The sequence below is a fragment of the Homo sapiens genome, chromosome 21 (assembly GCF_000001405.40).
Source record: "Homo sapiens chromosome 21, GRCh38.p14 Primary Assembly".
Lineage (NCBI taxonomy): Eukaryota > Metazoa > Chordata > Mammalia > Primates > Hominidae > Homo > Homo sapiens.
Window position 1 is genome coordinate 41739118 of NC_000021.9, and position 27941 is coordinate 41767058.

The following is a 27941-nucleotide window of genomic DNA, read 5'->3' on the forward strand; positions in this document are numbered from 1 at the left end:
AACTTCAGTGTTGGGAGCTTCCATCAAGACACACTTCTCTCCCCCACCTGATCACCCGTGTGCGGAGGGACCCAGGCAGAGGACGACGCCCGGCTCCACCCTCTGCTTTCTCGGGGTCCCGCGGCCTGGGTTAATTGAGGACACAGGGGCCCTTCCAGAAGGCCATCTGCAAGCTTCCGTCACTGCCTCAAGCCTTTGGTTTTCAGAAACCAGATTACTCGAGCTCGTTGATAAGAAAAAGCAGTCTCAACCAGCTTCAAAAAAGTAGGCAAGTACTTTGCTTTATTGACATCAAATGGAACTTCTTGTCCCTCACGCAGTCCACACAACAGTAAAGGCACAATGAGGCATATTAAAACATAGCCAGTTTCAACAGCTTGGATATTTCCTGCCATGGAAAAGTATCCTGCCCACAGATTCACATTAACATACATGGTACATTAATATCAATCTCTATCATATACCAGGCCACGGTACATGTTTGCACGCAGGGTCACGTTCTGCAACAAACTTATTCTAATAACAGTATTCAGAAGGCACCCTATGGGACACAGGTGACAGTGAAGTTACGAGGCTAGATGGCCACATCTTTTACATCCAAGAACCGCCCTGGGGCCACACCCCAAACTGCTGAGGTGCGGAGGCACGTCTGCAAAGCAGGTCAGAAACACTCCCCCCATACCCCAAAACACTATCCCTATCCCAAATCACCTAACAAAAATGAGAGCTGGGAAGGGCGCAGGTGAGCAGTGCATCTACCTAGGTAATACTGTCTATGTCTAGGTAATACTATGTAATTTTATCTTCATACTGCGTGTGGAGATAAAAAACACAGCTTCTCCTGCACCTCTTCCCCAAGACTGGTGCACTCCAGCGACCTGAGGGGGCTCGCCTCAGTCCCCAGCACTGAGGTTACAAAGGGAGAATTTTTTAATGACTTAGGCCTGTGGCTCTAGAGTTGCCAAAACATCTTAGGCAACGAGAAACGAACGGCAGCTAGTACCATGTGGGCACGTGTGTGTGGTTGTCCACAAGGACTCACCCAAGTAATAGACTGGAATGGTTAAGAGCTGGCCACACATACGCCCCGCAAAGCTGGCTGCTACCATTCGTTCCTTGTTGCATAAAACATTGTTTTCAAAGCCAACCCCACTACTTAGTCATCATTTAGAGACTAGACTATCCAATGTTATGAACATTTTTAACAGGTTTCAAGCAACAGCTGATAAGGTATTCATCTCTTAAGATATTTTATAAAACAATTCCATGGAAACTTTAAGACAGGCCTCTCTGCCCACCGTCATGTATGAAGATAAAAAACACAGTTTCCCCTGCACCTCCCTCAAGACTGGTGAGCTCCAGCAACCCAAGGTGGCTCGCCTCAGGAGAGAGTGGATGCTTCCACGCCTGGGGCTTCATCACTGAGAGACCAGCCTCAGCGACCCATTAGGAGCACAACGAAATGATTCTGACCCACGGTCCCTTCAGACAGCAGGTGCCTAGATCGATGATGGAGCGGGCATGTGCACCTGAGCCAGCTTCACCTGGAGGGGACACTCCGGTCAGCAGCAGCCGCCTCCTGATGGCACCATGTCACCTCTGCTTGGTTAACATTTAGGTAAGCCACAACAGGGCCCCACGCAGGATCGTTCCATCCCCACGAGGAACACAGGACAGGACAAGAGCCCCACGTGGACCCCCGGTCTCCGCAGGCAGCCAGCTAGGTCTTGCTTCGCCGCAGGAGCGTGGCGGCGGGGCCATGGCCGCCCTGGAACTTGAGGCTCTGCAGGTTGATGTGGGCCCCATGCCTGAGCAGAGTCTCCACCGTCTGTGCGTGCCGGCCCTGGGCGGCCAGGTGCAGCGCGCTGAGCCCCTGCTCGTCGAACAGGTCAATGACATCGGCGCTGACCAACTCCTCCACCACCTCCGAGTGCCCGTGGGCGGCAGCCAGGTGCAGCGCCGTCTGGTTCAGGGGTCCCCGGGCCAGCACATCGGCCTTCTCCTCGACAAGCAGCTTGACAGTGGCCAGGTGTCCGTTGCGGGCAGCCAGGTGCAGAGCGGTGTAGCCGTCTGAGGTCATGGCCTCCTTGCCAGCGCCCCGATGCAGGAGCAGCCTGGCAGTGCTCGTGTGCCCCGTCTCCGCGGCCACGTGCAGGGGTGTCTGTGCCAGCAGGCTGCAGACGTTGACGTCGGAGCACAGGTCGATGAGGATGCGGGCCACGCGGTAGTGCCCGCGCTGTGCGGCCAGGTGCAATGGCGTCCTCCCATCCAGCGTCTGGGCGTTCACACTCACCCCCGGCTGCTTGGCCAGCAGCTTGACGATGGGCAGGTGGCCCTGCCAGGCAGCGTAGTGCAGTGGCAGCCAGGCATCCTTGCCCTGCAGGCTCACGTCCACGCCTCGGCGCAGCAGGATGCGCACGATATTCTCCTGCCCGTGCTGGCAGGCCACGTGCATGGGCGTCCGGCCCTCAAAGTCCACCTCGTTGACCGAGGCGTTCTTCTCCAACAGCAGCCGTGTGCTAGACTCGTCCCCGTTCTGGGCTGCAAAGTGGAGGGCTGTCCACTGGTCCTCATCCTTGGCGTTGACACTGATCTTCCGCGCCAGCAGGAGCTCCACGACACCCCGCACCCTCCTCTCCACGGCCATGTGCAACGGGGTGGAGCCCCTACGGTTGCTCAGGTTGGGGTTGGCATTGTTGAGCAGCAGCCACTTGGCGCACTCCTCTTGCCCGGCCTCCACCGCCAGGTGCAGCAGGCTGGCACCGCTGTCCAGTGCCAGGTCCACGTCCTGCGGCTGCAGGATCTTCATCAGTTTGCTGGTGTCCCCGGACACGATGGCATCCACAAGCTTCTTCTTCTGGACGTCTGTGGTGCCCAGATCTGCAGGGAGAGGAGAGGCAAAGGTCAGAGCGTGGCTGCACATCCAGGGACGTGGCGTCTCTGGGAGCCTGGCTGTGGCGCTCAGGTGGAGGAGTGCCATGGCCTCCAGGCTGCTCGCTGGTCACCCGACTGTGTTTGAGCGTTGTCTGTGCCTCGTGATTAAGGTCAGTCCTAGCGGGAGCCCCGGGGCAGGCTGGCGAATGTCTCCCAGGTGCTCGTTAGTCGGTTTGCAAAATAAAACCCGCTCTCCCTGTCCTGCGGGGTGGTGAGCCCCCTTGGTGCTTAGAGATGGCAGTGACTGCAAACATCCCTTCATTAAAGAAAGAAGGAAAAAGGGCACAGACTAAAAAGACCAGGCCAGAGCTCCCATTCGCCTGGAAGCCTTGGCACCTGCCACCCACGGACGCCCCAGGCCTAGCAGCCTGCAGAGATGGTGACTAGAGCTGGAAGGGGCTGCTCCAGCTCTTGCCCCACCTCGAAGTGGCACCTCCTGACCTGGGGAGGTTAAGTCGGAAGTTTTCTATGATAATCCTGAAGGGACCGAGCTTCTCGTTTCAGGAGGACGTTAGTCCAGCACTCAGGATGAAAAGTTGTATTTACCACAAAAATCCTACCGTAGTGCCTGGAATGCTGAAACCCTGCAACGAGACTCTCCTCCGCCCTCATGTGAAACGCGTGGGGACTTGGAAGTCGGCGGTGGGAAGGTGTTAAGAAAACGGAACCCTCCCAGTCAGGCTTGGTGTCTGAACACTGGCACTCCAAGTGGAGCCAGTGAAGTAATTCTCTCTCGAGCATGAAGACAAGATGTCATTTCAGAGTATTAGACCCAAAGAGAATGTTCTAGAACGTACTTATCCATGGGAGATGGTGGTATTTCTTTCTGCTCAGTCTTAGACTTTGCCCTGACTCTCCTCCTCAAGCCCATCACCCACTGCTTATCTGCCGTCGAACCAGGTCTTCCCCACTGTGTCTATGTAGCATTGCCTTAAAACAAGACAGCCTCCTTTGCCCCCAATATTCTAATCTAAAAATCCCGGGAAGTCTGTAAGATCCAGGAAAAGTCTTTGCCTCCAAGAGGATGTTTCCAATCCACCAGGAAAAGCCAACTTCCCCTTCCCCCGAGATTGCAGCCTTGGCCCTCAGCCCCCGTGGCTGTAGCCCTGAGTGTAAATCCCTGTATTTTCCATCAGAGCTGCAGCCCCTTCAGGAACAGGGCAGGACCACATCTTACCCCTGCAGCCGGCAGAAAGGAGGCCAGAACAAGCACCAGGTCCAGCACCCTGGGGCAGGGATAGGAAAAAAAGCACCTTCCAGAAACAAAAGCCATCAAAATTAACATAAAAAGATGAGATTAGCTAAAAGAGAAGTGCTCCTCCCTATCAGGTGGTTTGCAAAGGTGGCCTGGTGGTAAAACCTCCAAGGATAACCAACACATTACTAGGCCTGGACTACCGTGAACGGGGAGCCCACATATGCGAAGGCGTGGGTGTGTACCCAGCAGCGTCTGAGCAGAGGGTGCGGGACTGCCACGCCCGAGACAGGAGGCCCGCCAGGGAGTGGGGCTCGGCTACTCGCCAGGCTCACTGCACTGGAGGGGGTTTCCAATCTGTAGACCTGAGGTCAGCCTCCACCCATGGCACTGGCACAGGCAAGACTGCTGCACAGACTGGTGATGTGGCCTGTTCCCCACACATGCTAAGTGACATAAGACGGAGCCAAATGCCCAACACACAAAATTAATTACTTAAGACAGAGAGAACACAAAGAAGAATTCTTGCTGGGTCAAGAAACTGTCCCCTTGATTCCGTTTAGCTTCTCACTGAGTCCAGTCCACTGTCCCGCCAAGCCCAGCATCTCTCGGGACACAGAGGCGTCCCCACTCACCGCTGGTTGAAGGTTCCCGCTCAAAGGACAGCGACAGTGATCCTCTGGAAGAGAAGGCGGAGTCCACCGAGGACACCCCCGAGAGCCTCTTCCCACTGCCGGACGATGGCAGCTTGGACTCAGAGGAGCTGCGGCTGAGCTCCTCGGGGCCCTCGACAGCCTGGGAAACTCCAGAGTCCAGCTGTGAGAGCAGCTCGGAGAGGCTGTAGTCGTTATCGAAGGTGGGGGCAGAGGCCCGCTTGAGCCTCGCAGGCACCACCTGCGAAGATGCAGAAGAGGGGGTGGGTGAAGACCCTGCCATAGACCGCATGGCCCGCCCATGACACAAACACAGAAGAGCAAGGTGGGCCACGGGAGGGAGATGGGGGAGGAAAGGACGGACCCTGGAAGCAATGCAGATAACCTATTGGTCACCGAGCTCAGACCCCGCATCGGCACAGCACTAGGGAGCTCAGACGCCATGTCCACACAGCGCCGCGGAGCTCAGACCCCGCGCCCGCACAGTGCCGGGCAGCTCAGACCCTGCACCCGCACAGCACTTGGGATGCTCAGACTCTGCACCCGCACAGCGCCAGGGAGCTCAAAGACTTGGAGCTACAAAGACTTGCGCTGGCCCCACCCAGCACGGAGACATCTTAAGGAAAGATAGCCTTCATAAAAGTGCAAAATCCAGCCTCATGCAGCTCTGGATACCATCTGCTCAGTAACACTGCACAGAGCGTCACCCAGACAAAAGGCAGGCGGTGTCAAGCTGCAGAATGTGAGGCATGTATGGCGGGACACAGCTGCCCAGCACAGGCCAGCGTTGGCAGGAAACGAGAGGACAGACAGGAACTGGGCAGGACCCCCACACGTGGCCACAACTGCGACCTCCCCGCGGAGCCACGTGGGGCTGGCCTGGGGGCTGTGTGGGGACGAGGGAAAGGGGAAGGACCCGGCTACAGGGACGAGGGGTGATCCAATCCGACATACACCGATGGGGCCTTTTAAAGAGTCTCGCTTCATGGACTGCAGGGGCAGCAGGTTTCTGGTGGGTAAGTGGAATCTGACGGGATTTCACGCTTCTTCCCTTAGGCACACCTGTTTGCCCCAACTCCCCACCCTTTGTGGGACGGCTCGAGGTCCCGCACTGTTGCTGGGTGTACCGAGCCACCCCTACATGTTGGTTGCCTTCTTTCCCTTATCAGGGCCCAGGTCTGCCTCTGTACTAGCAACCCCCGGGCACCTTTGCTCCCGGGCTCACTGGCACACATGCACTTTATGTTGAGGCAGTGGGCGCATATTCCTGATATACATATTTCCTGATCTCCTGAGCTCACACCAACAGCCTGGGATTAATCGCCCAACACCAGATAACACGTTATAAAGCTCACTTATCAGCTGGGCCTCACAGGTCTGCTCCAGCCTCATCACCCGAAAAGGCATTTAGCCAGCCCTGCTACTTGGAGCTTCTTATCACATCTGAAATCACCTGGGTGGCACTCATCAGAGTGCAGACCATTTATGGGCAGCTATAAAGGAACTGGATCCCCGAGCCAGGGGTGCAAAGACACTCAGACACCAGCTCTCCCTCCCCGGCCGGGGCTGGGCCTTCTGATCCCCGTGGTCCACACACATCCAATGAGTGGCTATTTAGTGTCAGGGAAGCCCTTCCGCCACTCACGCAGAATCAGACAGGAGGTGGGGCGGGGATGCAGTCGGGCAGGTGGACCTGAGCCCCCATGGGACCTACACTTCTAATGGAGTTGGGTGCGGGATGGGCTCAGAAGAGAGGGAGAGTGGTCCGGGCGGCGGGGGACTCTGCAAAGAGGAGTGGTTTGGAAACTCCTGCCTGGAAGCCGAGGAGACAAAAGACCCCTGTGGGAAGGACTCGTTACCTCGCTCCTGGGCTCCGGGGGGCTTTTCACGTCCAGATCATGAGCAGTTTCTTTCACTTCGTCATCAGGCTTTTCACACAGGTCCTCGGTTTCAGAAGTAATTTCTTGTGGGGAAGAAAGGGGACATGTCACTCGGATGATGACTTCTGCGTACACACGCGTTCCATATAAACGCAGGGCCCCCACGAGCTGGGGGATTTCTCACACGCCTCGGCCCAGCCTGAGCTCACCAGGCAAGCCCAGGGGCCCTACATGGACAATTTGCTGGCCAAACCCAGGCCCCCCCATCGGTAATCATTTGAAGGCCTCACCAGACTCAAGGCGGAAGCCTTCCCCGGGGGAGCGCCACCTGCCAGTCACAGGGAGCAGAGCTGCCAGCACCTGGCGGATGAGCTCCCCATTCAGCCCGTTTCCTGCCGTAAGCTTTAAATGCAGCAGTTTCCATCTCATCAGGGTGACTTTCCTATGCCAGAGACACATCTGTCCCAGGAAGTCAACTCCTCAAGAGAAGGGCGACGCCGCCGGCCACCGGCCAGGTAAGTCCCCGGGAAGAGCATGGCTGCACCTGAACTTCAGGCTCCCATACAGACTCCTCTGGGTGGCAAGCCCAACCCTGGTGGGGAGCAGGGGGCGGATGGTTGGAGGCAACTCAGTTCCAGCTGCCGTGGCCGAGCCGTGAGTACCAGAGGCCGCAGGCAGGTGCTGGGTCCAACCTATCTGTGCAGGGCTCATTTCGGCCCACCTGTTACACGCCTTGTTTCTCACCCAGGCCTGGTCCCTCACCCTGTCCTGTCTGTCACCTCTGTCTCCTGTGACACCCACAGAATGTGGCGGGGAGACCCCGGGGTGCTCACCTTGGAAGGTGGGCCTAACTCGCGGATCCCCCTGCCAGCACCGCTGCATGAGGCGTATCAGGTGGCTGCAGGCGCGCGGCCGGGCTCTGCACACGGGCGGCAGCTCGGGGCGGTGGCCCTTCACCACCTTCACCATGATGTGCAGGATGTTCTTCTCATCTGCCAAGGGAAGGATGCGAGTCAGGGGCTCTGCAGGGCTGGGTGGCAGCATCTCACCCTTGGGAGGAAACGACACACTCGCCGGGGGCCACAATGGGGCCATCCCCACACCACCCCAGGGAGACGGCTCCCCCACTCCGTTTCAAAGGCAGAGCTTCCTGTAACCCTCACCCTCATGGTGCGCCATGCTCTCTAGTTTCCTGGTTTTGAAATCGACCTCTTTCCCTGGGTTCTGATCTACCAGAAGGAGTCAGTGTGTTTGGTCACAGAGCAGATCTTTCTAGGCATCCCATCCAAAGGAAGATGAGGTTCAAAGGAGAACAATATCTTATGAGGCTCATTCCATCAACAGCCCAAGCCAGCAAAGGGAATGAGGCTCACGCACCATGGAGGAGCCACAGCGTCCTACATCCACAGAGACCCAACTCTCTCTACAATGGCGAAGAAGTCTTCCTCAGTTCCAACTCCAATCCCAAGCTCAGGTCCCCAGCTGGCCTCCCCTGCCGGTGCACCAGGGCTGGGATGTGTGGAAGGGCTCTTTCCCCTCAATTCACCATGTGGGGCCGCACCTGTCCTTTCCAACTGCCTTCACTAGCATGCATGGGCTCTAGCTTATTATTATTATTGCCACAACTTCTACCCTGACTGGGAAGGGCCCAGGGTGACATCCAGTGGGCCAAGTTCTTTTTTCTGCTTAGCCTGGAACCCTCAAGGTTCTTGTTCCCAACAGCCCTCTCTGCCCTCCAGATCCAAACACACCCACGCATGGAATGGCAGCTCTTTGGAGAGGCCATGTGCCTCAGCAGGTGTGGAAAATCAGCCGAGAATCACCCACGGCTGCCAGGATTCCATACAATGTTTTGCTCCACTTTCCCATTAAATCTTGTGCAATAAATATCGTTAAGTGTTTAGCAGGCTATTTCCATGATTATTCAGACTTCAAAACCAACAGCTCCTCTAAATAAAATGGAAGCAAACTGAAGTAAACGCCCGGAATGTTTCCTGCTGCCAAGCACAGACTGGAAAAGCTGGGGAGAGGCCTTGTTCTCCTGCACCTTGAACCCCCTCCTACCCATTTTTGCCTGAGGTTGCAATTTTTTGAATTTGAAAAATCAGACCTTGGCGATGACCTTGAACAGTAGGACACGAATAATTCCCATATGATTAGCGTTCCAATAAGGGAACACTAGGCATATTCAGCAATAAAGCACAAGGGCTTGAGCCTTGACCTGTCCCCTGCGCCTAGCTTCGGGTGTCACATCTATCAGACACTGCCTCATTTCACAAGCCTTCGGGCTGTAGGCCACTGTGCGGGAGAACGTACAGAAGGCAAGAAAGGCGACAGGCGGTCAGACAACACAGACGGACACCGGCCAGCAGAGGCCTGGCAGGACGCGTTCTGTGCTTTCTACTGACATTCTTTTAAAGCTGCCAAGATACTTGATCTTGCGATGCTGGAAGATCTCTTCTCACCCCAGCACTTTCCCATACATCGGCTCCTAGTCTGAGCCCCGACTAACAAGGGGCTAGGCCTTGACTCTCATCTTCATTTTTAGACATTTTCGGTCACACCACAAAATATCATGAGTAGCCCAGAAATGTCTTTAGAGGAAAAGGGAATCTGTCCAACAAAGCTAAAAAGTCCTGGATTTTTATGATAAGTAAGTCAAGGTGTGACAACTTTGAGGATGGTGTTCGGAATGGTGGCTGCCTGGCTGGGGAAGCAAACACCACAGCTCTCAAGCTGGGCAGGGGTGCCACTCCTGCAAGCAACTCCATGGCACTGAGCAGCTCTGGAGGTTGGCTGCGCAAGCACGCGGGTACATGTAATGCTCCTGAACTGTATGCTTCACACGGCTGACATGCTAAGTTTTGTTCTGTGTATTTTATGACTATTTTTTTAAAAAGTAAACAAAAAAGAATTAGCTGGAAATACCAGCACAGGCAAACCCCTGGAGACAGAAAGCAGGTGAGTGGTTGCTGGGGCTTGAGCAGGAGGAAGGGCGAGGGACTGCAGAATGGCCATGGGCTTTGCCTTCTAGCATGATGAGAATGTTCTGGAATTAGACAGTGGTAACGCTTGTTCAACACTGCCAGTGTAGTTAATGTCACTGAATTATACACTTTAAATGGCTAACATGACCAATTTTATGTTATATATATTTTACTACCACAAAAAAACTAGCTGGCACCTAAAAACATTCCATTGAACAGGCCCCTTCAGATCTGTGTCTTTTCCTGCATGCAAATTACACCACAGAGCAGCACCTATGGCAGCGTGGATCACAGGCTCTGTTTTAGGATAGAGAAAGGACAACAAGGTGTCCCCCCATTATTCCAGGAAAGACAAGCACATTACACCTCAAAGACAGGTCCACTCACCTGCAAACGGCTTCTTCTGTGTGAGCACGCCCCAGATGACGATCGCAAAGCTGGAAGAGAAACCAGGCACGTTAGCATCTGACAGCCAGAGACTCAAAGCCAAATGCACTCATGCACAGCAACAGGCGTGAAGACACCTGTTCTGAAGCCTTCCAAAGACAGAGCCATGACACCGAGATATTTCTCCTGTTTTTAAAAAGAGAAAATTCTCTATAGTGAAGCCCAGCATGTTGATAGCTCAGATGTCAGACAGACTCAAGTAACTTCGCCAACTGGGCTACAATCTTCAGGCAGCTTGAGGGACTTCCAAAGAGGGTGCCACCCTATGCGGGGCGTGAGCTCCTGGGGAACAGCGCCTGTGTGCCTCACTGATATCTTCTCGCAAGCACCAGGCACAGAGCACCTGCGCAGGCATTTACTGAAGAAATGGATGAATGAATGATGGGCAACTCCCATGCCCTCCCCCAACAATGATTTCATTCTCTGAAAACACGGATTCTGGTTCTGATCAGCGTTCCTAACGTAGGCTTGCTGAGATTTCAGCGTTCCTAACAGAGGCTCACTGAGAGTTCATCATTAGAGGGTTGTTAAAGAAAGTGCGCAGAAAACGTAGGAGACAACACAGCTGAACGCCCCAAAGCCTTTTTCGGGGGCTGCTTAGAAATATATAGATAATATGAGGGATACGTTCATGTACATTACTCTGGATACACCAAAAAAAGTGCCCAAATTGATTAAAAAAAAAAAAAAAAAAAAGAAAAGAAAAACAGAAGTCCGAAAACTGAGCCTCCAAGGAGCACTGAGTTGGTGAGGGCTGTTTATAGACAACGAATTCACCATCGAAAATTAGTTCAAACGGCAGGTTCAAAAGCTGGAACTCCAAACTCTAAAATAAATGGAGAGGATCTCAATCTCCCCAAACTCTACAAGCTGTGACTAGTCTCCAAAGTGACACTTCCAGGCAACTCTCAGCTTAAAGCCCCAGCTAAGCACATGCACAATGGCCACTGTCAAACCAGTCAGCCTGGGCTGCTGGCGGCGGCAGTGACCAAAAGGCAGAGCTCACATGCGGGGTCCGAGTCACAGTGCTGCTGGATAACAGCCACAATGGGAGGCTTAGTGCCTGCTCACACGCTCCCACCCACTTTTCTTCTCCAAGAAGTCTGTGTGATTAAGACCTTTACAATTTGAAAAAGGAAGGGACTAGGTGACTTGGGGATTGATCTCTGACCAACAAAGGTTAAGTGCCATGAAGAAGATGAGCTGCTCGCCTCACAAAATCAGAGTGAATTTCGGAAAGTACAAACACACATGCGTACAGACCACTGAAAGCAGCAGGTTCTTCCAACAGACAAGCCATAAAGCCCACGGGTCATGAAATCACCAAGGCTCTGACAGGGCAGGGCTGTCAGCCTGGCCCAAATGTGGACCTGGGAACACCCTTCCTCCTTGGCTAGCAACACTCACAGCAAAGAAATCCCTGAACTCTACAAGCACCCACCCCTTCTATGTGGACTTAGCCCCCTTTCTGTTTGTTTGTTTTTTAGACAGGGTCGCGCTCTGTTGCCCAGGCTGGAATGCAGTGGTGCAATCATGACTTACTGCAATCTCCACCTCCCGGGCTCAAGCAATCCCCCAACCTCAGTCCCGAGTAGCTGGGACTACAGGTGCACGCCACCAAGCTGGGCTAATTTTTGTATTTTTTGTAGAGATGAGGTTTCACCATGTTGCCCAGGCTGGTCTCAAACTCCTGGGCTCAAGTAATCCTCCTGCCTCGGCCTCCCGCAGTGCTGGGATTACAGGCGTGAGTCACCGCGCCTGGCCCGAGCCCCATTTCTGACTGGCAGCAAGAGGCCTTTCTGAAAGCTGCAGCTCAGGGCATGAAGCATTGAGGTTGAGAGCCCCTGGCACCCACAGGGGATGGGGGGCGGCATGTCACACACCTGTATACATCGTGCTTGGTGTCGAAGAGCCGGCTCTTCTCCCTGATGCGCTCTGGAGGGAGGTAGGCGATTGTGCCAAACAGGCCATCCATGCTGAGGTCATGCGAGTGGGACAGCCCGTTGCACTTGGCCAGACCAAAATCAGAAATCTGCAACACAGCCATCAGAGCGGGGCTCATTAGCCTGCAACAGTGATATTTTATGATGCTTTATCAAAAGCTCCCTTCTGCAATCTCAGAGGGTGGGTGAGAGCTTTCCAGGAGCCCCTAAGAGCCGTGTCTGTGCCTCTCCAGGTAGCCCTGCCCCAGGCAGGGAGGGAGACAGATTCTGGGGCAGAAGCAAGCCTGGAGGCATTAGGAGCAGCACATTTGACGGGCAGGTGAAAGAATCGTACTGTAAGGAAGGAGTTATCCGGGACAGAACTGCAGAAGAATTAGAATCCACCTTCTGTAAAGCATCATGTTTGCCATGGTGGTTGAGAGCCGGCTGAGCCGGCATAAAGGGAAAAAAACAAGCCTTCGAGGGTTCAGGTAAAGAGAGACACATGTGAAGACCAGGTCTGCTCCTAGAGAAGTCGGGGAGCAGGTTATGCAACCTGCCAGCTGGGGAGGCTGGCGGGCAAGTGGCTGCAAGTCCTTTAAAGGGAAACACAGAAACACACCTTCAGAAGCCCTTTAAACTTTAAAGCAAACAAAACACACGCCTCAGAGCCCCGTCCATCTGGAGTGTTTTGTGATCAGCAGACACTGGCTGGCTGCTTCAAACACATGTGTTCGAGTGAAGGTCTGATAAACACCTCTGCTGGCAGCGCCCGGGCCCCAAGGAGCACCGGCCACCCAGCTCCTCCAGGAATGCCCTCAACGTCCGCATTCAGGGGAGGCAGGTCTCAGGTCTCCTTCGGGCAAAGGTGACCTTGGAGCTCACTGGGGAGACTTCACAGACCCCCGGTCTGACCTCTCTCGGGGGCATCCCCTTTCCTGCCAGTGTCCTACCCTCTCCAGTGTAACTCAGTCCCCTTTGAAGCTGCTGAAAACCGTATGTGGGATGAAGACACAAGTCATCAGCATTAATGGGACTCTTGATCCAGGGGGAGTGCTGCTCTCAACTTTCCTTCAAGGCATATGGATTTTTTTAAAAACCCTTTTCATTAACTCTTGAGCTCCTCTCAAACACACCCATGGAGTGACAGGAAATGAGGCTGAGTCAGGCCTTAATTCTGGGCTGGCCATGCCCATGTGGTGAGCCAATAGGGCTGCTGTCATCAGCACCAAACAGCTGGGAGAATTTATGACCTGTGACTCGGGCTTCCAGGGATCCTGAGCACATCTGCAGGGAGGTAGGGGGGAAGGCCTGCGAGCAGGGACCGGCCCTCCTTCTCTGCAGCCAGGAGCACCAGGACAAGGCCTCGACTCCAGCGGCTCTCATGTCCTCCCACTTCCATTTCTCCCAGGGCCTTCAGGCCTGCACCGCCCTTGAGAGCCACACTCTGCACTCCAGGGAAAGCGCCAGCTCCCCAGAGGAACGCCATCACCCGACCCTGCAAACCCCGGCGGCTGCTGGACGCTGGGACACAACAACGGGTCCTAACTCTCCAAATAGCTCCAGAGCACAGGAAGTTTCAGTTCAACAGTCATCAGTGGCTTGAAAGCCTTCAAATTCAGAAATGGGCTGAACAATGAGAACACATGGACAGAGGGAGGGGAACATCACACGCCGGGCCCTGTCGGTGCGTAGGGGAAGAGGGAAGGGAGAGCATTAGGACAAACACCTAATGCATGCGGGTCTTAAAACCTAGGTGATAACCTAGATGGTGGATGGGTGCAGCAAACCACCATGGCACATATAAACCTATGTAACAAACTGGCACATTCTGCACATGTATCCCGGAACTAAAAGTAAAATAAAAAATAATAATAAAAATAAAGAAAGCATCACATACTTTCTAGGCAATTCCTCCTCCCCCTGTATGGTTGAATGTAGGAAAAAAATATCTCCCTCCCACGGTTAGTTAAGGATCAGACTCACTGTTCTAATCTTGCCTGTACAAGTTAGTAGCTCCGTGGCCCTGGACTATTAGCCTCTCTGTGCCTGTTTCCTTTTTTCATAAAAGGAGGCAATAGCAGTACCCATCCTGTAGCTTTGTTGTGAAAATTAAATGACATCTGAGATCATTAAGAAAGAAAAGAAAAGAAAAGAAAAACGACAGGGGTGCAGAGATCTCAGCCTGGTGCTTCCCCAGGCCTGCAGCCTTTTCTCCTCCTGTCTTTGTCAGATAGAGCCAGCCACTCCAAACTATACTTGGTGAAAAGAAAACGAGCAGAAATTCTCTGTAAAACCTCTGGCAACAAAATGCAAGCTCGGAATTGAGAATTCTAGGAGGGTCACTGACCCTCTATGTTCTCCTCCCTCCATGTCTCGGACTCCTGGCCGGCTGCATTTCCCCTCCGCCTTTCCTCATCTTCCCACCCAAGCTGCCCCTCACCCCGTGTCCTCAACAGCGAGCTACTGTGGCATCCACTCTGACCAGCAAATGCTTCAAGAGTTACAAACACTCTCATCAGCACCCGACTCTGCATCTCCAAGAGCTGAGGGCTCACAGCTGCCCCCAAGCACATGGCCCTTCAACTTCAAGGTCCAGCTGTCAAGACTAAGAAAGCAGCCTGCCGGGGTTTTGCTGCCTCTAAAAGAAAGACACAGCAGAACGTGACCCGCGTGTGACCCTTTGAAAAGCGTCTGTTTTGGGCTAACTGGACATATAAATGCAGCCTGAGATTTTAAACCAAGTTATTTCATTTTTAAGTTGAAATTGATTCCAACTAGTATCTTAATATTGGTATTTAGTATATGTAATGTTGAATAATATCAAGCATTAATTTGATACTATTACTTTGTATACTATTTACATTTAACTGCTTCATGAAGTAGACAGTTGCTGTGATATTTCCAGTTTGAATCGAGCCCTGAGCACTGAGGGAGCCCATCTCAGAGGCGAATGGCAGCACTGGAATGGCAACTTAGGATCTAATTGCAGGATTCTGGATTACAGTTTTCCTGCATTGAATAACTGTCTACTGAGGACTGCCCAGAAGCCCAGTGGTCAGTCCATGCAAAGCTTCCACACTTCGTCTTCAGGAACAAAGGCGCTGACTCTCAGAACCCCGACACACACTCCCTGCTGCACTCTACGCACACCAGTAGCTATTTCACAGAAAAAATAAGTATGTCACGTAAAGGTATTTTTCGGTTTGTTTTTGGGCTTCTTGATGGTGACTAACATGCCTGATTAAGAAGGACGCCACACAAAAGCAATCTTTCCTGCGGCCTGTCAGGGTACACAGGGCCCTAAGATGTCCCAGGGGCACCACACAGAGATGTCCTGTCACTTCCTGGCCAGCACCCAGCGTGCCTTCGACAGCAGCCTCCCTGAGAAAGCAGTTCCAGGCAGCATCCGCCCCCTGCAGCTGTCCTGAAAGACAGGGAAGCCCTGCTGCCTGCTGCCCCTGCAGGAAGGCCCAGAGCTCTCTGCGTCTCTTGGGCTGTTTCCTTCACCTAAAGGCTCTGCTGCTGCCTGCCCCGACTCCTGAGGGCAGAAAAGCCCCACCCTGTGTGAAGGCCCAGCCCCAGGAGCACTCCCACCCCCTCCCACAGGGCCGCCTCTAGGCCCAGCCTGCGGGCCACACACCCTGCCCCCAAGTGACTGCTACGTGCAGTGGTCATTTGGTTTCTTTCATGTCAAGCACAGTGGCAGGCCAGGTGGAAATCAAGGTCTCTGCTCCGTGACTTACAGCTGGACGATCCTGGCTGCTAATTTACTCACTCTAAGCAGAGACTCAGCGAGAACCAGAGGCCACCGTCCACTCTGCACCTCTGCTCTGAGGATGAGGGCAGCTCCCGCAGGTGAAGCCTCTAGCATGTCCTTTCCGGTATTCAGTGCACGTTGGACGGCAGAGCTTACTAGTCATTAGGGCCCCAGAGCCTGTGCTACCTAGAAACAAGCCCGTAAATGTTGGCGGGAATGGGGGGTCCGCATGTGAGGCCCAGCCCTGCCCATCACAGGAAACGGGAATCCCAGGGGTCCCAGAACATAAGCAGATGCGGGAAACCACCAGAGAGCCCGTTCAAGCCAAGTCATTTGATTTTTGTCTCCATTATCTCAATTTCCTACTTCACTTCGCAGGACGGTGCTTCATCTTCTAGCTGAAATCTTATTACTGCGCAACACCTACCTAAGAGACAACTTATAATTACTGCCCGAAGTGAAAAATTGACCTCCTCACCACCGCCCTGGCTGAGCAAGGCACGCGAGATGCACTCGTCCGCAGAGTCTGGGCACAGGGAGCGGCCGTGCGCATGCCATACGAGCCACCGCTCCCGTCCCACCCAAGAGCTCAGGGGCAGGGCCGGGCCCTGAATTCAGGTCTCTCCTAATTAATGGTCAGGCCATCAGAGAGGCCTGGAAGTGCTGTGCCACCAGGAACAGTAGCACAGCCAAGCCAGGCAGGGGACTCCTCTGCTTGTCCCCTGCATGAACTACATGGATCCGGACCATGGCTCTCGGCTCCTTCTCACTCCCAGGGCAGACACCAGTGTCATGTGGACCAGCCTATCACCCTGGGCCTCCCAAGAGCATGTGAACATCACCACGTGGGGAAAAACTACAACGCGCCAGGTGTAACCACCACATGTCAACGACAGTACAACCCTAGCCACGAAGGCCATCAAAGGAGATACAAGGAAATACAGCCCTGATGCAAAGGTGATGATGCTAACACCTGCCAAGGCCCAGAGGCAACACTGGTTTTCAGTTACATTATCTCTCTTACTTTTCTGTGTTTCAAAAACCTATCAGCGAAGCAAAAGCAAGCTCCATCTCCCAGGCGTTGCACTAACGCAACACGCTGCCACTCCGCACTCTACGCAGGGGCAGACAGAGGCAACGAGCCCCTCCTCACAAGCCTCTTTCCACAGCACTTTGAGGACCCCACTGCAGAGGACCCCCACATTCCCACCACCCCGAGCTCCTGAAAACACTGAGGGAAATGCGTCCCTTTGTTGCAGAGCCTAAGGTCTCGCAAGGACACACCTGGCCCACGGGCTGAATTCTAACCTGATTTCATAAGACCAAAACCCACAAACCCGTAATCTTTTTCCGGAATGAGTCATATGCCAAGATTTGGGGGAACAGCCCCCATGTTCACCAAGCTACCCTCCAGCTACATGGCGTGTGGTTTTCATACCAACCAGGACAAGCTTAGGCTCCTGGAGTCCTCATGCTGCAAAAGGCCTCGGTTTCAAGCTCTTTCCTCCAAGAAGAACCACCTCCTCTTCTGCCCTTGTCCTGACCTCAGGGCTTGACCCCTTGATACCCTGCTCCCCAAGACACAGGCCCTCCCTGCCCAGCTCTCTCGGGCACCGTGCGGCCCCCCACCTTGACGTGGTAGTGGGCATCCAGCAGGATGTTCGCGGGCTTGAGGTCCAGGTGCAGGAGTGGCGGGGCCATGCAGTGCAGGAAGTTCATGCCCACCGCCGTCTCGTGGATGATTCGGAACCGGAGATCCCATGGCAATGGCTCCGAAGCCAGCAGCTTTTCCAGGGAGCCCGTCTCCATGTACTCCATGACCAGGCCGACAGGTTCGCGGCAGATGCCATACACAGGCAGGATGTAGCGAAACTTGGCCATCTCCATCTTCTTGGCTTCTTCCAAAAGCTCCATGCGCTCCCTGAAAAAGTTCAAAGGCATGAAGAATACGCAATGGTCACTCAGCCACAAACATGGAACAGCACCCTGGCCAGAAGACGACCAGCTCCAGAGGGCTGAGCAAATGCCTCAAGTGCACACACATGGGGCACACTTCAATGTCACATCACGAATGCAGGGCTTTCCAGAGTCTCAGTCCTGAGGCTGCTGAAATGTACCTATGCATCACAGGGTTATCACAAGTGAGGAGGAGGGAAATTCTAATCGTTTTACAGGTAGCACTGATAACACATGTGGGGGGTCCACGTGTGTGAATAATTCCACAGGCAGCCATGAGCCAAGGCTTGGGGGTCTCAGAGACTGCAGGTGCAGGCCGATAATCCCTTCTCCTGGGAGGAGGGAAGAGAAGTTGACGTTCCACTCAAGGTTGTAACTAGGCAACTAGGCCGGGCACGGTGGCTCATGCCTGTAATCCCAGCACTTTGACAGGCCAAGGCGGATGGATCACCTGAGGTCAGGAGTTCGAGACCAGCCTGGCCAACATAGTGGAACCCCCGTCTCTACTAAAAATACAAAAATTAGCCGGGCATGGTGGCAGATGCTTATAATCCCAGCTACTCAGGAGGCTGAGGCAGGAAAATCACTTGAACCAGGGAGGCAGAGGTTGCAGTGAGCTGAAATCATGCCACTGCACTCCAGCCTGGGCAACAAAGTAAAACTCCATCTCAAAAAAAAAAAAAAAAAGTTGTAACTAGTTATGTTCAAGGAACCCAACTCACCTTCTCCGTTTAAGCCCAATACCTGAGTTGGCCCAGTTATTCCTGAATCCAACCTCACACTCAAACTAATGAAACAGCATAGGTCCAAAGCATGGGGTTGCCAACAGCCAAATCCAACCAGCCATTTTTTAAAATAAAAAATATAGGCCGGGTGTGATGGCTCATGCCTGTAATCCCAGCACTTTGGGAGGCCGAAACAGGCAGATCACAAGGTCAGGAGTTCGAGACCAGCCTGATCAACATGGTGAAACCCTGTCTCTACGAAAAATACAAAAATTAGCTGGGCGTGGTGGCGCCTGCCTGTAATCCCAGCTACTCAGGAGGCTGAAACAGGAGAATCACTTGAACCTGGGAGGCGGAGGTTACAGTGAGCCGAGATCGCGCCATTGCACTCCAGCCTGGGCGACACAGAGAGACTCCATAACAAAAAAAAAAAAAAAAAAAAAAAATATATATATATATATATATAGAGAGAGAGAGAGAGAGAGAGAGAGAGAGAGAGAAAATGTAGTCAAATAGACATAACATAGTATTTATTATTTTAGCCATTCACAGGTGTACAATTCCCTGACATTACCCACATTCACAATGTGGTACAACCATCACCACTATCTACACCCAAAACTTTTCCATCATCCTCAACAAAAATTCTGCACCCATTAACCAATAACTCCTTCCCTCATCCCCATCCTCAGTAACCTCTTTTCTACATTCTAGGCAAATTCATATAAGCATAAGCATATAAAATTTGCCCTTCTGTGTCTGGCTTATTTCATTAAGCATGTTTTCAGGGTCTATTCACACTGTAACATATATCAAAACTTCCTTTTCATGGCTGAATAATATTCTGCTGCACGAATGTACTGCGTTTTGTTCATCTGTTCGTGGGTGCAGGCCATTTCCACCTTTTGGCTCTCGTGGATAATGCTGCACATCTGCACACATTGGGGGACAAACGCCTGGAGTCGTGGCTTTCAATTCTTTTCGATACATACCTAGGAGCAGAATTGCTTGGTCACAGTCTATGTGTCACATTTTGAGAAACTGCCAAATGGTTGCCCACAGCGTGCCACCACCTTGTTTGTATAAATAAACTTTTACTGGAAGAAAGTCTCACTCATTCATTTAAACACTGGCTGTGGCTGCTTTTGCACTTCAAAGGGGAGAGGAGTCCTTGCAACAGAGGCCCTGCGGCCTGCAAAGCCTAAAATGTTGCCTCTCTAGGCCTTCGTGGAGAAAGCTGACCAACCTCTGGTCTAAGGTCACTTCCCTGGTGCAGCCTGTGTTTTCACAGACTAGAATCCCAGTGCAATGGTCTGTATTGGCATCATGGGTCAAAAGTCTCAGAATGCGTTCAGAGTAAGAGGCTGAATCCCACGGACGCACGCTGGCCATGCAGGATCGAGATCAGCAGCCCCAAACACAGACATGGTAGAAAGCACCCAGGAAGCTGGCTGGAATGCTGGTTCCCAGGCCTCACTCCTTGAGAATGCATTCCAGGTTGGGGCTGGAAAATCTGTTTTTTTGTTTGTTTTTCTTTTTTGAAACAGAGTCTCGCTCTGTTGCCCAGGCTGGAGTGCAGTGGCATGATCCTAGCTCACTGCAACCTCTACCTCCCAGGTTCAAGTGAGTCTCATGCCTCAGCCTCCAGGGTAGCTGGGATTACAGGTGTGCCACACTCAGCTAATTTTTTGTATTTTTAGTAAAGATGGGATTTTGCTGTTTGCCAGGGTGGTCTTGAACTCCTAGGCTCAAGTGATTTGCCTGCCTCAGCTCCCAAAGTGCTAGGATTACAGGCATGAGTCACCGTGCCCAGCCAATCTGCTTTCTAATAATATAATAAGCTCCCTAAAGGAAATGTTCAGAACCACACTAGGAGAGATCCGACCTCCTATAGCAGGAAACCCAGCAGCTCCATGTCCACACACAGGCCACGCAAGGCAGCTGGCTGGGGTGGCCTCCAGACAATTCCCCCAGAATCCAGCGTCCAGCCCAAGTCCCTGCCTATAACCCAGTGTCCGCTGCCACAGCAGGGGGCTCTTCTGGAGCTCGGACACAGGCCTGCTCCTCCCAGTGACAAACCCGGGAGCAGGTGCTGGGAAATCACTCAGTGGCTCCCATTTCCTCGCCTGCTGGTGAATCCAAAACAGTGCCAACAGAACGCATCCATTTCTTAATGATCTGACCGCCCCTGCGAGAGTTCAGCCCCTCCTAGGCTTCCCTTACCATAGTGAAAACACTTTCCCTGCAGGAAAGGCCAGCAGGAACCCCTGGATCCTACTGTTTAGCTCTTGCTGTGGAAATTCCCATACATCGGACAGGTACCAAAGGCTCGGAGATCTCAGCCTGTCTGCCCCCCAACAATGCAAGCCCTGCAGCTAGGGCTCTGCGTCTCAGGACATAGCCCACTGGTTCTCAATTAGAGGCAACTTCACCCCCCAAGAAACACTGGGCAATGTCTGGAGAGATTCTGGCTGTCACAACTAAAGGATGCTACTGAACATCCTACAATGCATAAGACAGCCCCAAGGCTAAGAATTACTCAGCCCCAAATGCCAACGGTGCCAAGTTGAATAACCCCGATGTAAATCAAGTGAGTGCATTTTCAGCCAATAAACTACTACTGTCCAGAATCACCACTTCAGTATTCCCAGCACTCACCTGACCTATATTTTAAGCAGTTCTGTGTATTGGCAAGTGCTCGCTTGAATCCACCATATGTCAGAACTAAGGACAAGAGGTCCCTTTCCCGCCTTCATGGTGTTTACGTGTACCCTCTAAGGAAGAAGATGGCGAACTACCCCCAAAAGAGAAGTGTGGTTGAAAAATCTAAGCCTCTTGAAAGGAAGGTCCAGGGAGCTATGGAGAATCAAGAGAGATCCAAAGTCAGAAGTCAGCATAGGAAAGGGCCCCTGAGAGAATCGGGAAGGCTGAGACCTGCGCAGAGTCCAGGGGCACCCGGGAGGCCAGCAGAGCGGAGCAGTCGCTGTGGATCCCCTTGGGCTTGGCAAAGCAGAGAGGGGAAGCCAGCAGAGCACACACACTCTGTTGGAAGAATCTGCAGGATGGGTCCATTGACTGCATGTGGAGGGGAGAAGCTTGCAGGACCTCTCTGGAGCTGCACCAGGGGTCACTAGGCAGCTCTCTACGGTGGACGCGGGAGCACCCCAGGAGGAGCAGCTGGGGGGTGTGGGGGGTGGGCAGGTCGAGTGTGTCTGAATACACTCAAGGAGCAAAGAATCCCACTGGCCTTGGGAACAAGTGAAGCAAGTATCAGGAATGAACGTGAAATTATTATGAGACAAAACTTAGGGGAGCACGGCCTGCTTTCCTAGCGCTCTGGTTAAATGACCAACTAATGGAAAACAAGATGCCCACCAGTGTGCAGTGCTAGCCTGTGGGGGTCCCTGGGCTGAGCTGAAAGCTGCCCCATCACCAGCATACCATCGGCTGCTTCCTCCCTCTCCAGGGGAAATCCCTCTCCCTGCAGCCACAGGCTTGGGCCAGGCTCTGGGACCCATCAAGGGATGGGGGGTGCAGATCAGATCGTGGGACTCTCAACCCTGTCCCCAGTCTCAGTGAGCATTGGGAAAAAAGGAAGACGAGGACCTGATGCCAACGTCAAGCATCAGCTAAAATGAAACCGGTCACCAAAGAAGGAAAATGACACCTCTCAGCTCCCAGCCTTTCTCCTCCTCTGGGAACACCGGTTGGCTGAGGCCCTCATTTGTTATTTAAAGGAATACCAGCACAACTTCCAACCCGGCAACTGCCACTAACTTCCAAACCATCGGACTGGGACATGGTACCAGCTGCTGCTTCTCTTTTATGTCTTGTTAAGAATCAGAGTTATGATTTGTCTGTTTCCGATTGCTCAAATGTGGCCAGCTTGCCGCCCCTCCCCTACCAGTGTGGCCTCCCTCCTCCGGACACTCTGCCCCGGGGCGCTGGCGAAAGTCCTTCCGTAGGACTCAGACCCACATCCACTGTGCAACCGTGTGAGGCACACCCTCCTCGCCGGAGGGTTTTGAGGAAATGACAATTCGGGTGTTTAGAGGCCAGCCATTCGCAAGGGTCATTTTTCCACATTAAGTAGACATTCTGAGAGTGAACTCTCTAAGCCAAAGCTGACTGATAATAAACACGTATTCTGAGAACAATGTCAATCAAAGGAAGGCTGAGTAGCTTATTAAGTGGAAGCTCTGAGCCACTCCACAAATAGTGTTTTCTTTTATTTGCCCAAAGGGCTTAATACATAAAACCCCGGTGACTTCTGATTGCAGAGTGAGCTCATTGGCGACTCTAACAGCTACGGGCTGGCAGCAGTGCACACCCCTCCCCAGCGCACCGAGTTCAGCAAGTACTTTACTCTCCCTGCCCCGGGCTCTTTCTGCAGAACGGAGACCCCATTTACCTTACTTTAAAAGAAACAACAAACAAACAAAAAAGGGCCACTGCTGCTAGTTGGCTCCTGAAAGCGGATCCCGGCTAGAATCTCCTAACGGAGTCCACCCCAGCTTTGCGCAACTGCCTGAAGGGAGCCCGGCACGACTTCCCCCTTCCATGGGCCACACATTTGAGGGCACTTTCTCGAGGAAAATCAGCTGTCCTGGAAAAAAAAAGTCATTGTTTCCGTGGACAAAAGTGTTGTGACAGCATGATCCAAACTGGCTTGGGGTAGACAGGATTCCAGCTGAGGAAGGGGGTCCCGGGACCGCCCTGTGGGAGATCTGAGGCCCAGGAGTGGGGGTGGGGCGGCTCCCTTGCCTACCAGCCTGGATTTCGCTCAGAAGCACCAGCATGTCCTCAGAAACTTTCCACACTGTTTACCATCCAGTAACCACTGGGCCAAAACCCACACGACCCCGCCTTCCAGCCCCTCTCCAGGTGCTCCCTAGGCGCACATCTGGGAAACTCCAGCGGCTTTAGGAAGCTCCAGCCCTTCTGGGGTCGGGTGTCGCCCGGCGGCATTTGCAATTCAATAAGCCTGAAAGGGCCTCTTTGCAACAAGCTGCAAGAAGAGGCTTTTCTGATCAGGGAGGTTAAGAAGTGCTCAGGTACTCGAAGCACAGAAAGAACCCACCAATTGCTTTTGAGCAATGGCACTATTTTTTTTAATACATTTTTTTCTCCTAAGCAGTGTTTCTGGCTTATTTTAATGATTCTGGCTTATTCTGATGACCACACAAAAGGAACTGTAGATTTATTACTATTATCATTTTAACACGTGGAGAGATGCCGAATCCAGCCTAGGTGCTGGGGTGGCGGCCAGGGAGCACAGAACATCACACAGTCACATTCGCACCGTCTCCAAATCGCATTTCTTACTGTTGACAGTGAAGTCAACGTTTCTGGGTTGACCAGAAGCCCCTCTCGTCGGTGTTAATTAAAACACAACCTAAAAACTGTGCCTTGCTCCAAGCGCAGCTACGCTTAGGCACAGTTCAGAGGGGGTGGCATCCTATTCCCCTCTCCTTCGCTGCTGGTGAAAGCGTTGCTAATTCTGCTTCCACGCAGGAACGGGAAAAGCCCCCCCTCCCCCGCAAAAGTGTCCTGGGTCCTGTTTTGGGTTCCACATGAAAAATCTCTGGGCATTAATTAGGATTAACTTGGGGTTCAACTTTTTAAAGATACGGTGAGTAGCACTTAGATGAATTCGGTTTTCTCCTCATTTAGGGCTAGCCAAAGTGTATTTCGCCCTCCCAGGGAGGCCAATGGAGTAGCGAGAAATACGAGAAATATCATCACACCAATCATCTCTAAAAGGAACTTCTAAAGAAGTCCCAAGGTTCTTCTCCAGGCTCAGAAATTCCAAAGACCTGTGGACCAGGCCAGCTGCGGTTTCCCCTGCAAGCACGCATCCTGGAAAGGGGGAAAGAACTGCCCCGGGACATGGTCTTGTGCAAGCGGAGAAGCAATAAACGAAGGGAAAAGTGAGAAGCAGGGAGGTGGGGGAGACGGTGAGACCGCTCAGGTAACAAAGAGCTCCGAAGGAGAAACCTAGCAACTACCTTCAGGAAAATGCAGCCGGAAAATGTGTTTCATCATCTGTTAGCTGATGCCTCTCAGCGAGGCCTTCTGCACACCAATCCAATTATGTTCCCAGGGAGCCTCGGAGGGGTTCCCACACGGCTATTTTTAAAACTGACAAGAAACGGGCTTGTCCAATCGTCAGCTCTGTTGTTACAAACCTGGGGTTTGCTCAGGCTCGCCCCGACCAGCCAGGGCTGAATGTGGCAGGAGCGTCTCCCAGCCGGCGCCCCGCAGGCACTGGCTTCTTCTGAGCATCCCCTTAGCTGGGGGCTGGTAGGGGAGGAACGGGGCCTTTGGGATCACTTTATTCTCTCCAAACTGGTCACAGCACCCATCCCTACACCCCACCCTAGGCCCTGTGACCCCCACAATGAGGGTCAGCCAGGGAGGCCAGCTGCCTCTCCAAAGCCACCCCACAGGACCCTCCGAGGCACCGAGCCCCATGATGAAGGTAATCTCAGATCAATGGGGTGTCACCTGTGAACTCCCAGGAGGGCCCCCTGGCAGGCACTTCCTGTCCCTGGGAGCCTCGCTAAGTGTCTGGGGGCTGGGCGGCCCCCCAACCTTTCCTGCACAGAAAAGCAAGCTCACATGGCCTGGCGCAGCCTGCTCATCAAACAAGCCCCGAGCAGGTGCTGTGGCCAAGGGCCGGCTGAAGGCCTGGCCCAGGGGAGCTGCAGGGAGCCAGGAGACCCCAGACCACCTTGAGAGGCAAGCAGCGTTGGCCAGTGAAAATCAGCCTCACCTGCACCTGTACCTGTGGTGGCTCCTATGTAACAAGTGGACTAGACCATCACTGACCCCCAGCAGCCTGGAAGAGGCCCAGACCCGTGTGTCAGGGGTGAGAGGGGCTGTCCCTCCGAGAAGAGAAGCAAGACTTAGGCAGAAGGGGTACAGGGCCGGGGGCTGCACACAAAGACCCTAGGAGAATCCTATGCCCCAATTCAGGGAACATCTTGCAAATATGAGGGGCTGGGGTGGGAGGCAGCTCGTCAGAAAAGCACTGAGAAATGTGGCAGGGCAAGTGGCACAGCGACTACTTCAAGGCCTAGGTACAACCTTGTGAGACTGCAATGCAACCAGCTCCTGGAGCACAGTGGGACTGATGTACATTCCTAACAAGAACCTCAGGCTCAATACAGTCAATAATTAACCTAAAGGAATCAGCTTCACAAAGAGCCAGGGTTTGACCAACTTCTCAGAAAGATCAGCCACTGCTGCACATGGCAAAGCCCCAACCTACTCTACCAGGCCCAGCAGAGCACAGGAGGTGAAATGCTTCCTGCTAGGCGATGCTGACCTCGACCTAGCCACCTGACATGCCACCACCTGTCTGCTTTGGGCAGGGTAGGAAAGGCTTCCAGTTAAAGTACAAAACACTTTTCAACCAAGCTATGCAATATCCTAAGTGATCCACCTTAAGTGGAGAAAGCCTCCCTCCAACCAGGCCACCCAAGAAATAAGGGACTGGTCGCTAGAAATAACAGAAGATCCTAAGGATGTGAGCTGGTGAGTCAGTCCAGGTAGGTGCTTGTTTACTTTGCTCTTCCAATATAAGAAAGTGGTGTGAAAATTTTCACTGATGATTAAAGCTCACACACATCCCCAAGAGATAAAACGAATGCCCCTATGGAGAGGGTTCCCTTTCAGAACCTAACCACTGGCTGGTATTCAAAGTGGTTTGGATTTCATCAAAATAACCACAGCACCCCTCCTGGCCTGAGAAGTTCCCAGAATCTGAGGCAGGGGAGAAAAAGTGCACAGCCTGGGCCAGCATCTCACCTTTGAACTAGTGGTGATTTGATGACACTCGTCACCACTCTACTGGTGTTTCCAAGAAACACTGGATTTGAGGGTTACGGCAAAAAGCCACCACTATCTCTGCTGTGTAGTCTCCTAGCCAAGGACGAAAATGCAAAGGGAGAGGACAGGCCTCTCATCCACAGAGGCGTCACAGTCACGGTATGGGGCTGCAGCACGCACTGCCACCCCAGACACAGGCATCACAACGATTCTGCAGAAAAGCTGGGGCTTAGCGGCCCCATCACTCAATCAGCCGAGCATTCGAAACCAGGTCTGCCAGGCAGCAAAGGCTAAATGGTATTTTAAAAAGGTGTCGCTTCTGAGTGTATGTGTTCAAGGAATCTCTAGGTAAAATACAAGCATAGCTTCCATGTAGAAGGTAAGCTTCATTAAAGGATAAATAATTAAAACGTGCTAAATTGAGCCTTACATATGAACCATCAAAATCAACTGTAAACAGTGAAATCTACAACAACAAAGAGGTACTGTTCAAGAACATTCTCCCTACCTCTCAAATTATGCACAGACGACAACCGACCCACCGAATTTAACACGGGCGGCTCTGCGTCCTTCCCATTCGTCTTTGTTACCTTGAACACTCCTGCTAGGTAGGTACAGGCAGGTTCCATTCTGACTTTTGGACTGGGAAACTGGGGTGCAGGAGGGCCCCATGGCACGGCCACAGAACTTGAATGCAAGGCCCTTCCCTAGCGGGTCGGTCTCGAAATTAAGTCAGCTAAAACGAGAGTGTGCGGCGAGGAAGCGCTGGGCGGACGGATCAACACCCCGGGCCCCGTGCCGGACCCCACTGCCAGGCCCGAGCCCCGGAGCTCCACCGCGCAAGCGCCGGGCGCCCGGGAAGCCTCGCCCGAGCCAAGCCGAAGCTTCCGACCGAAATAATTACAGTCTTACACCAATTTGTGTTCCAACGTAAATTACTAAGTAAGTCGAACGGAGGCTAACTCCACTCACAAAGCCCAGAGGCCCACATGGCAATTTTTCTAAGCCCTGCGCAGACCGCAGCGCCCCGGTGGGTCCCGGGCGGGCCGGACGCGCCTCCCAAGGGCGCGGGTCCGAGGCGCAAGGCGAGCTGGAGACCCCGAAAACCAGGGCCACTCGGGGAGTGTCAGGAAGCACGACTGGGCGCCTTAGGACGTCCGGGCAGACGCGGCCCCCGAGGAGCCCCAGAGGAGCCCCAGAGGAGCCGCCTGACCCGGCCCCGACGTGCGCGATCGAGCCCGGGCTCGCCAAAGCCCCCGCGCCCCTCCGGCCCGGACAGGCCGAGTGGACATTGTCGGAGCCCCGCGGCCTCGCCGGCAATTGGTTTCCCCCCCGAAGCTGCTCCGGGGGTGAGTTCGGGAGAGAGAGGCAGGACCCCGGGACCAGAGCACCCCGACCCCGACCCCAGCCCGGGCCCCAGCCGCCCCAGCGCCCCGCCCGGGCCGCTCACCTGTCGTCGACGTGCAGGCTGGGCGAGCACTTGATGGCCAGCCAGGTCTTCCAGTGGACATGGCGCACCTTGTACACCTGCCCGAAGCCGCCCGAGCCCACCTTCTCCCAGCCCGTGAACTCGCCCGCGTCGAAGGTGCGCAGCAGCGCCAGGGCCCATGGGGTCCCGCCGTCGCCCTCCATCGCGCACGTCTAGCCAG

At 53.5% G+C, this 27941-nt stretch overlaps 1 protein-coding gene and 1 non-coding gene across 2 annotated transcripts, besides 9 other annotated features; both read right to left on the reverse strand.

The window, feature by feature from the left end:
- RIPK4 (receptor interacting serine/threonine kinase 4) lies at nt 256-27935 on the reverse strand. Its single transcript, NM_020639.3, has 8 exons — nt 27743-27935; nt 17408-17699; nt 11980-12128; nt 10037-10086; nt 7496-7654; nt 6642-6745; nt 4765-5023; nt 256-2880 (listed from the first exon to the last, which is right to left on the reverse strand). Exons 1-8 carry the CDS (start codon nt 27922-27924, stop codon nt 1721-1723), a joined length of 2355 nt encoding a protein of 784 aa, NP_065690.2. The 5' UTR covers nt 27925-27935; the 3' UTR covers nt 256-1720.
- Nucleotides 1379-2075: an enhancer, noted in NCBI's record as "H3K4me1 hESC enhancer chr21:43160656-43161352 (GRCh37/hg19 assembly coordinates)". NCBI's record gives its function as "activates a minimal SCP1, AML or CMV promoter by ChIP-STARR-seq in naive H9 embryonic stem cells {active_cell/tissue: H9 hESC(naive)}" and the evidence as "EXISTENCE:reporter gene assay evidence [ECO:0000049][PMID:30033119]".
- On the reverse strand, nt 7655-7724 carry MIR6814 (microRNA 6814). The gene has a single exon (NR_106872.1). It is a non-coding gene; the product is annotated as a microRNA 6814 (primary transcript).
- Nucleotides 13724-14515: an enhancer, noted in NCBI's record as "OCT4-NANOG-H3K27ac-H3K4me1 hESC enhancer chr21:43173001-43173792 (GRCh37/hg19 assembly coordinates)". NCBI's record gives its function as "activates a minimal SCP1, AML or CMV promoter by ChIP-STARR-seq in primed H9 embryonic stem cells {active_cell/tissue: H9 hESC(primed)}" and the evidence as "EXISTENCE:reporter gene assay evidence [ECO:0000049][PMID:30033119]".
- Nucleotides 21209-21843: an enhancer, noted in NCBI's record as "H3K4me1 hESC enhancer chr21:43180486-43181120 (GRCh37/hg19 assembly coordinates)". NCBI's record gives its function as "activates a minimal SCP1, AML or CMV promoter by ChIP-STARR-seq in naive H9 embryonic stem cells {active_cell/tissue: H9 hESC(naive)}" and the evidence as "EXISTENCE:reporter gene assay evidence [ECO:0000049][PMID:30033119]".
- Nucleotides 21844-22478: an enhancer, noted in NCBI's record as "H3K4me1 hESC enhancer chr21:43181121-43181755 (GRCh37/hg19 assembly coordinates)". NCBI's record gives its function as "activates a minimal SCP1, AML or CMV promoter by ChIP-STARR-seq in naive H9 embryonic stem cells {active_cell/tissue: H9 hESC(naive)}" and the evidence as "EXISTENCE:reporter gene assay evidence [ECO:0000049][PMID:30033119]".
- Nucleotides 22479-23113: an enhancer, noted in NCBI's record as "H3K4me1 hESC enhancer chr21:43181756-43182390 (GRCh37/hg19 assembly coordinates)". NCBI's record gives its function as "activates a minimal SCP1, AML or CMV promoter by ChIP-STARR-seq in naive H9 embryonic stem cells {active_cell/tissue: H9 hESC(naive)}" and the evidence as "EXISTENCE:reporter gene assay evidence [ECO:0000049][PMID:30033119]".
- Nucleotides 23114-23747: an enhancer, noted in NCBI's record as "OCT4-NANOG-H3K4me1 hESC enhancer chr21:43182391-43183024 (GRCh37/hg19 assembly coordinates)". NCBI's record gives its function as "activates a minimal SCP1, AML or CMV promoter by ChIP-STARR-seq in naive H9 embryonic stem cells {active_cell/tissue: H9 hESC(naive)}" and the evidence as "EXISTENCE:reporter gene assay evidence [ECO:0000049][PMID:30033119]".
- Nucleotides 24449-25048: an enhancer, noted in NCBI's record as "H3K27ac-H3K4me1 hESC enhancer chr21:43183726-43184325 (GRCh37/hg19 assembly coordinates)". NCBI's record gives its function as "activates a minimal SCP1, AML or CMV promoter by ChIP-STARR-seq in primed H9 embryonic stem cells {active_cell/tissue: H9 hESC(primed)}" and the evidence as "EXISTENCE:reporter gene assay evidence [ECO:0000049][PMID:30033119]".
- Nucleotides 24492-24786: an enhancer, noted in NCBI's record as "tiled region #8078; HepG2 Activating non-DNase unmatched - State 3:PromF". NCBI's record gives its function as "activates a minimal TATA promoter and a strong SV40 promoter by Sharpr-MPRA in HepG2 cells {active_cell/tissue: HepG2}" and the evidence as "EXISTENCE:reporter gene assay evidence [ECO:0000049][PMID:27701403]".
- Nucleotides 25049-25647: an enhancer, noted in NCBI's record as "H3K27ac-H3K4me1 hESC enhancer chr21:43184326-43184924 (GRCh37/hg19 assembly coordinates)". NCBI's record gives its function as "activates a minimal SCP1, AML or CMV promoter by ChIP-STARR-seq in naive H9 embryonic stem cells {active_cell/tissue: H9 hESC(naive)}" and the evidence as "EXISTENCE:reporter gene assay evidence [ECO:0000049][PMID:30033119]".